This window comes from Homo sapiens, chromosome 1, assembly GCF_000001405.40.
Source record: "Homo sapiens chromosome 1, GRCh38.p14 Primary Assembly".
NCBI lineage: Eukaryota > Metazoa > Chordata > Mammalia > Primates > Hominidae > Homo > Homo sapiens.
The window spans coordinates 22,281,412-22,290,531 of NC_000001.11; the positions used below are offsets into that span (position 1 = coordinate 22,281,412).

Consider the following 9,120-nt stretch of genomic DNA (forward strand, 5'->3'; position numbering starts at 1 on the left):
ATCTTTTCTCCTTGGCTGAGTGTGGATATTTTTCTATTTTTCTAAGAGTAATGGGATACCATTAGACGGGTGATGGCCCTAAATATCTGGGCTGTTGTGTTTTGTTGCTGGGCTGTTGTGTTTTGTCTACCATATGAAGAAAGGGTGCCAGGGTAGTGGACGCAGACAGGCCAGTGAGGAGACTGAGAAGTTGGCTGGGAGAGAGGGTGGCTTGGACTAGGGCAGTAGCGGCAGATGTGGTGAGAGGTGGGTGGATTCTGGAGGGACTGTGGAGGAGCATCACAGGACCGGTGGCGGATTGAATGGGAAGGCAAGAGGAAGTGTCACTGGTGGGGAGCCTTGGGGAAGGCTCCCTCCATATGTGACTTCAGAGCTCACATTACATGCTCAGCACATGCTGGAGAGATGACAAAGGGGCTGCGCTCCTGTCTGGTGGGAATTTAGGGAAGTCTGACCACACCATCTCCAGGCTGGGCGAAGCCACTGAAGGCTTGAAAGGATTTTGAGACTTCCTCATGCCATCCTCCATCCTCCTGCCTCCAGACCAGACAGACTCATCCTCTCCCCAAACCCCAGCTCCAAGGGACAGCACACTGGAGGATTCAGAACCTGCGCCCACCCCCACCCCCCATATCCATGCAGGGGGTCACTATGAAGTGCCCTGTGACAGAGGCTTTCTAATTTCCCAAGACATGGTCATAGCCGCGGGCCATGTGATGGTCTTAGCATGCCTGAGGGGTTGGCCAGGAAGGTTTCCCCTCCATCACACAGCTGAGGACATAGACTCTCAGAGTAACATGTGCCTCATCCATGAAGATGTGTGTAGCTCCCCAGATGGCACATCCATCCTCGGCTTTCCAGATGACAGGAGGAGTTGAAGCAGGGAGTTAAGGGGAAGTGCCTGGCCGAGGGAAGCCAGGCTGGGGAACATGGGTATGAGGCTGGGTTGTCACTGTGAAGTATGGGGCGGGGGCCTGGCAGCCTTGAAGAGCCAAGAGGGCATTTCCCTCTTTTTCTCCAAGCACAAAGCAAGGGTTTCTGAGCTCCGCAGCTGCAGTCTCCTCCCAGGGCGGGCTCAGTGACCACTCCAGAGCGGCCCTGGACGTTGCTGCCCTCTGACAACCTGGAAGCCATCAGTTCTCTCTCCTGCAAACTGCAGAACTTGGGCAATTTGGGCAGGTCAGGCTGCAATTTTCTCTGCAGGGCTGCAGGATTGGTGCACACATGAGTTTGGAGCATGCAGATGCGGACATCAGAGGTGTTCCTACATCTTTGAATCTCATCTCGGCCTTTTTTGGCTAAGTCCAGGAATGTGTCTGGCTTCAGACCATTGGCGTCACAGCTGCAAACTAGAGACTTCCAGAGCTGGGAGTAACCGAGAGCTCCTCTCATCCATCCTTTTGCCTTCAGGGGCACTTCCGCCCTCCCCCGAAGACCATCCCAGCCAAAGGGAATGTTATCTTTTCCCCAAAGAGCTCCTTTCCTCTCCCTCGGGCCTTCATTCCTGTGGGGAGCAACTTCCAGCCAAAGACCTCTTCCCACGGATTGTAGCCAACTTTAATCCTGCCTGCCCAGCCCATGCTCCTGCTTCTGATGGCAGCACCCTTAGAGAGGCCCCCTCCCCACTCTCAAGTTGTGAGTTGGGTGGGGTTTACCTTGAGTGCACCTGTGGCCCAAGCCTGGCCAATGAGAGCACCACATTCCTCTCGTCTTGTCTCAGGGTTTGTTTGGGGGTGAGTAAGTGATCAAATCAAGGCAAATCAGATTAAGTTCTGGGATTTCGCTGCAACAACGGAGAAGGAGGTGTCCTTTCAGTTGGGTTTGCTGTTAGGATGGAAGCCTAAAGTTGCCATCATTTGGAGAAAGCCTACCTGAGAGTGGATCCAACACAGAGGAAAACAGGTTGGAGGCCTGGAGAGAGACAGCTCCTGACAACTGCAGTTGAGTACTTGGATCCAGCCATGCCTGAAGCTAAAAACCATGGACATTTTAGATATGTGAACTGATAAACTCCCCTTCCTGCCAGTTTCAGTGAGGTTTCAGTCATTTGCAGCAAAGGTGCTCCAACCCCACCCTAGGTCCTTCCTTCTGCCCCACAGCCTTTGTCCTTTGGCTCTGCCCACAGTGGGGCTGGAGAGTCTCTGGCCATGCCCTTAGCAGGAGATTCCTTCATCTCCTTGAGTCTGCTGGTCAATTGCTGCTCAACATCTGTGTCTCCACTTGGACTCACCCTGCTCCTCTCACTGTTTTCTCTTTGGTTTACTGTTATTCAGAATCCTTCCCATTGCAGCTGAGAGAAGCCACATCACATCATCTTGAGCAAAAAAGGGGACTTGCTGGCCTGGGGAATTGCCCTGAGGAGTAGGGCTAGGGGGCTGGAATCACAGCTCAGGGCCAACAGGATTATCTCTGTCTGTCATTCACCCTTGCTGTCTCTGCTTCCCTGTGGGGCTGGCCTCATTCTCTCCCTTCTGTGAGGTGGAGAACTTGGCTACCATCAGCCCAGCTTGGGAACCCCAGTCTAAAACCAGAGAGCTGTTTTCTTCTAAGATCCATATGTCAGTTCCAAGGAAGAACTGACTGACCTTGTTTGGGCCATGTGCCTGCGGGGCAATCACTGCAGCCAAGGAAGTGGGGGACAATCATTGACCAAGTCTGGGTCATGTGGATGAGGCATTGGGGTTCAGTAATTGACAGACTTATGTAAGGAAGGAAGAACAGTTTCCCACAGGGGACCAGGTGGCTGATAGTAAATTAAGGTTGGGGTAAGAGGGATGCTGGGCAGAAAAGAGCAAGAGATATCCACCCCAGATACCACTATCATCACAACCATCATCTCCATCTGCCAGCATCTCCTGAATCCCTACTATGGGCCTGGCTCTGGGAGGAATCCATCCATCCAACCATCCATCCATCCATCCATCCATCCAGCCAGCCAGCCAGCCATCCACCCACTCACCCATCTATCCATCCATCCATCCATATATCTATCCATCCATCCATCCATCCATCCATCCATCCATCCACCCACCCATCTATCCATCCATCCATTCATCCATGCATGCATGCATGCATCCATCCATCCATCCATCCATCCAGCACTGATTCTGCACCAGGCCCATCTATCCATCCATCCATCCATCCATTCATCCATCCATCCATCTAGCACTGACTCTGCACCAGACCCCGAGCTAGAAACACAATAGTGAGTCTCATCTCACTCAGAGATAGGGACTTCAGCCCTAGTTCAGCCTAGAGGGGAAGAACATTTAAGAAGCCATTATATTCCCCTGGGGTAAGAGCACTTTTAGGGAAGTATAATGGACTCAGAGCAGGGCCAGCTAATGTAGTTTTGGCAGAGTGGTCTGGAAGGGTTTCCAGGAGGAGGTGACAGTTAAGCAGAGACCTAAAGGAAGAGCAGGAGGTAACCAAGTGAAGAATAAAAAGAGTCTCCAGGAGAGGTGACACTGGGAGGGCAGGAGTTTCTGCCCCTGTGGCGTTGACAGTGATGTGGGAAGACAGGACTCCTCCCTTCCCTCACTCAGCAGTGCTAACAGGGCCCAGGATGGCCTCACCCTGGGCTGGGCCTGGGATCTGGAAGTGAGATCGCCTGGGCCCCTTCCCCCAGGAGCTCCTGATTCACTAGGGGAGGCAGGTGTGTGGTGTAAGAAGAGCACCGCATGGAGGAGGCGGTCTGGAGGAGAGCAGGGGTGCGGTGGGTGCTCCAGGGAGGAGGCTAAGTCTGCACTCAGCCTTGACAAGAGGCACTCACTGGGAAAAATGAAGCCACAGGTTCCGGATCGTCAGGGCTGGTGCCTCGCATCCTCCATCCTCATAACTCCCAGTGTGTGGGTGTCCTGAACTGTGTCCTCCTGACCACCCCTCACTCCTGGAGAAGCCTCCACACCAGCCCTCCTTGGTCAGGGTCAGCCTGTCCTCTCTCCTTGTGCTCCCGCGGAGGTGTAGGAAGATGTCCGTTCCGGATGCTGATGAAGAGGAAGGTAGGTACTTGGGCAGGGAAGGTAGAATATGGAGGTTTGGTGAGGATCTGAGGTCAGGAGATGGGATTCAGGGCCTCCTTCAGCTACAGACTCACGGTGTGACCTTGGGCAAGTCCCCGCCCTCTCCGGGCCTTGGTTGATCCCTCGGTTTGGATGGGAGAGTTCACAGGCCTTGTTCCGGCGCCATTTCTGTGCATTTGGAGGTGGGGCTGCACTGGGGCTCCTGGCTCCTGGCCGCGCCGCCTTGCAGCCTACAGGTCCTGAGTCATCTTCCAGGCAGCGGGTGACCTCTCCATACCCCTGTCTCCCCGCAGCCCCGTGACCCTGGGCGGCGCGCAGGGCCAGGCCGTCCCAGGCGGGCTGCACAGTGGAAATCACAATATTGACCCAGCGCGCAGGAAGTGGGGAGGACAGGCCGCCGGGGTTCCCGGCCCGGGGGGAGACAGCTCGCTGAGTGATGAGCTCGGAGCCAAGCTCTCCCTCCCTCCTGGGTCACCGCACCGCTGCCCGCCGCCAGGGCTGTTCCTCTTGGCTCCAGGGCCCCCCTCCCTGGACCTCCCTCCTACACATTCCCCCGGCCCAGGCCCCAGAGGGGAGCTGCTGGTGAGCTCCAGGCCTCAGGGCCTCTCGGGCCCTGCCTCCCTCTAGCCCAAGTCCCGGTTCCCTTGTGCTTCCAGCATCTGAGGGGCCAAAACTGGAACTGCACCCTCACAGGCCACTGACCTTTGGAATAGTCCTGCCTCCCATTTAACAGATGGGGGAACTGAGGCTTAGAAAGGTACTCAGCCAGTTGTATCAGAGCCAGGATCCACACTCAGATCTGTCCAACTCCTGGCCAGTGCTCTGTCTACGCCGTGAGTGAGTTATCGTCGGTCGTGATAATAGTGTGAGTAATAAACTGCTCAGTTAGTGAAGTTTTTGGTCTCACGCAGCCCTCTTGCCTGCCCTAGGAGCGGTTCTGACTTTACAGACGAGGAAGCTAAGGCTTAGAGGTGGTGAGATAACTTTCCCAAGGACACAGCCCGGGAGCAGCAGGGCTGGGATTTGAACTGTGGTCCGCCTGATCTGTCTGTTCTGCCAAGCTGTGGGGCAGGAGGGGCCTGTCCTTGAAGGTCTACTCAAATGCCACCTCCCCTGGGGGGCCCCAGGACCACCTGTAGATTGTGCTCCCCCAGAGGGGTTCCTTGGGGACAATGTAGCCCACAGCCTTGCTCTCCAGTGAGGGGGCCCTCAGTTGGTGTTGCCTGGGGGTCTGGCCGTGGGGTTTGGAGGCTGGTGGGTCAACCCTGCTGGTGGGTTGAGCTGGACCAGGAAGTGCTGCTCAGGGGTGAGCACCCTCCAGGGGGCGTGGTGAAGTAGAGGGGAAATACTCCTGGGCTTGGAGCTGGGGACCTGGAGCCCCTCCCTAACCTCCCAGGGTCTTGGTTTCCTCATTCATAGAAAAGGGCTTGGGGTCCATTTGAAGGCCTACTCCCCAATACCAGAGACTTAGTAGAGCTTTGGGCTTCTATTTCTTCCAGCTCCCTTCCCACAAGCTGGGTGTCATGGGGGAAAGGGTTTACAGAGCTCTCACTGGGCTCTGATTAAGTTTTCTACCCAGGGTTTTCACTATAAGGAGTCACCAATGAAAATCTGCCAATGTGCTTCTTCTAGGGCTGCTGTTGAGGGTGTTTTCTGATTCATCACATGACCCCATTATGAGGAACCCCAGGAAAAATTCGCCGAGAATTCAGTGTAGGCAATTTGCATGAAGTCTGAGAAATTGGTATAATTTTATATTTTGGACACTGATTGTGTCTGTGTGTGTGCATGCTTGCCTGAGTGTTTACATCTTTGTTTTGCCCATGATGAAGCTCAAGGCTAAAACTATGACACATGACAGTGTGGGACTTCCTGATCCAGGTCACCTCCCCTTCCCCTTGCCACAGGCCCCAGAATATAATTTTCATTTATTGACCTACTGTGCAGCATGAAGATACAGCCCTTTACCGATTTCCTCATTTCCTTTGTGCCAGGGTGAAAACTGACTTTCAGAACGTGAACAAGGTGCATGATGGATTTATCCATTAGTGATGTCTGCCATGGGCACACGAAGGGAAGTACTGGTGCATATGCCTCATTTTTGCCTTCCCTCATTCAATCAATGTATAATATTGTATCTAATCATATTTTCTATTTAACCATATATAATTTCATAAGCTGCCTTTAAACCTTTGTGGAACAAGACTTTGTATAAATAATGGTAATTCATTGCAAATAACCATTAGGTTCTTTAACATAGGTTATATTACTATGTCCTTACCATCTCTCTGCAGGAGAAAATGGGTGGGTCATATGGCACCTTTGTGCATATTCGAAAACTATGCCCCTCTGGGCAATAATGGCTTAGTGAGCAGAGCACAGGGTAGATTTTAGCCCCATTCACTTCATCACCCAGGTGTATTTGTTCAGTGCATGACCTTAACAACCACACACAGCAACCCTATTCAGTGTCTTGCCAAATCCCATGGTTATATCCTTCACTCCAAATCCAGTTCTCATTTTATTATATGCAGCACACAGACCATATTCTGGGTCTTGGACATCTATTCAGGCTCCAGGATGGTTGGCATTTGGTCTCAGGCTAAGTGAGGCAGTGGAAGGAAGAACAGCGTAAACAACTTAGCTTGCGTTTGTGCCACAAACAGGCAACATTCCTGCTGGTGCCTGTCCCTGCCTGCCAGATTCCAGTGAGGATCCTGGGCTATGAATAGTCCCAGTGATGCCCTCTCAGAGGACCCACTGGACTTCCCGCAGGCCCGGTCCTTGGCCTCCACCCCACACTGGCCACTGGGAAATCAGGGACAAGACCTCTTCCCTGGCACCTTCATCCTGCATGTTTCTTCCCGCTTGCTTTCCGCCCGGGATTACCGCCGGGGCTGGGCTTCTGCACGTGGCTGTTGCTTGGGCCCCCACGTGGGCTGCTTGAAAAACATCTCTCTGAAAGCAGAGAAAGTGTGAGCCGTCAAGAAGGAGCGTGTGGAAGGAGAGAGGTCCTCGGAGGAGGGGAAATTTACAGCATTCATTTGGCCCATTCTAAGGACACCGTGAGGCCTGCATGAAATGCCTTCCGGAGGTGAGCACCGGTATTTTACTGCCTAAAATCCAATGTCAGTGCTTCCATGCCCTTGGAGATTACCTCCCCCACCCCCTCCTGTGACAGATAAGGAAACTGAGGCCCATGATGGAAAGTGACTTGCCTAAGCCTGTACAGCTGAGTGAAAAATCCCAGGCACTGATAGGGGAGGCCCTGAGTGCAAGCTAAGTTCTCTGGACCTGATATGTGCATGATGTCAGGGCTGGAGACACAGGTGGATGCCCCGTTTGGTTCCCTGAACTGTCAGCCTACTATGTGCTTTAGCATAGATTATATTACTGTGTTCTCACCGTATCTCTGTAGGAGAAAATGAGTGGGTCATTATAGAGACAGAAACTCAGGTTCAGAGTCGGGACCACTGCAGGCCCTTAGGGCACCTTTGTATATATTAGAAAAATATGCCCCTCTGGGCAATCATGGCTTGGTGAGCAGAGCACAGAAGGCCAGAGAGTCTGACTCACTTGCCAAAGGTCACACTGCACCACAGCAGAGGAGAAAGCCATGTGATCATGGTCAGGAAGACCCTGTTCAGAGGCCAACAGTCTGGGTTCTGTGAATACCACCCACTGGCTCTGTGACCTTAGCCAAGTGACTTTGTCTCTCTGAGCCTCAATTTCCTCACTGATAAAATAGGAGTAGTAACTGTAAGGCTGTTATGAAGACTTGGTAAGACAATACAGGGAAGCGCTCAGCACAGTCTTGGGATAGCCTCATGCCAATGAATAGTCGTGCCAATGTCAGTGTGATTATCACTACCAACAGAAGTAGGCGGTTATAGCAGACATTTCTTGGATTGGTTGCCAGAGTCCAACTTCTGGATTCCTTGGGGCAAATGGCCATGCCTTCTGTGTGCCATCTCGGTGGGGATGGTGGTGGTAGGGGTAGTTCTAGGTGCTCCTCTCCCTCTGTGAGAATAGAGGGAGCCACAGCCCCCCTCCGTCACCCCCATCCAGCGCACACTCCCACTTGACCAGCTGCCTGTGCTCTGCTAAGTCTTTGAATCTTGAGCGTTGATCCAAGGTCAAAAGGAACAACGGCTGGGGATTTGTTGTTGTTGTTATGGTGGTTGTAGCAATGTCTTAATCAGCCTTTTCCTGTCATCAGATGCCCGTGGATTTATTCATTCAGCAGCTATCCCCGGAGCTCCACTTGGAGCCAGGCACCAGGCAGGGGGCTCAGGTCCCGGAAGTGCCCACAACAGGCAGCTCCCTGCTCCCCTCATTCCAGTCCTTCCAGAGCCTCCCTGAGACCTGCCTCTCCTGAGCTTACTCCTCCAGCCTCCTGTTGGTTCAGAGAGCCCCTGTGCTCCTTCTAGTACATTCCCCTCTGCTTATGTCAGCCAGGGCTGACTTGGCTGCTGACGATGAGGGAGGCCTGGCTAATTCCAGGCCATGGTGGGCTTGAACCTTACGCTTCTCTGTCTCCCATGCCTGGGCTCTTCCTGCCATCATCCTCCCTCCTGGTACCCACAGTCATCTCTATGCCTGAGCCCTGTAGACCTCAAGGCTGACCTTGGTGGGACCAACCAAGTCACAGGATTTGTCTGAGAAGAACCGGGGTATGAAGAGTTTTGTGGGTTTGAGATGCCATAAAACTGTCCAACAACAATGACTTCCAAACTACCTCCCTCTGAGCTGTGGTGTCTGCAGAGATCCCTCATGGGCTGTCAGGATTTGAGAGTGCGTTGGGGCAGTTGAGTACAAGGGCTCACTCCCTTCCCTACCCCCACACCTATTTTAACCAGAGTGGCTTTACCTAGCACAGTATTCAAGAGGCATGCCCTCTGGGACCACGCTGCCTGGGTTTGGATCCCATCTCCACCACGCATGAGCTATATGACCTTGGATAAGTCACTTATCACTCTGTACCTCAGTTTCCTCATCGGTAACACGAGAATGGAGAGACCTCAGAATGGTGCAGTGACGATTCTAGGAACGTATGCTACCTAAGGCTTCAAAAGTGCTGGCCTGTGATGAGTCTTCA

The 9,120-nt window shown here is 53.1% G+C and overlaps 1 annotated feature.

Annotated features, from left to right (window-relative positions):
• Window positions 5,235–5,734: an enhancer, noted in NCBI's record as "H3K27ac hESC enhancer chr1:22613139-22613638 (GRCh37/hg19 assembly coordinates)". NCBI's record gives its function as "activates a minimal SCP1, AML or CMV promoter by ChIP-STARR-seq in naive H9 embryonic stem cells {active_cell/tissue: H9 hESC(naive)}" and the evidence as "EXISTENCE:reporter gene assay evidence [ECO:0000049][PMID:30033119]".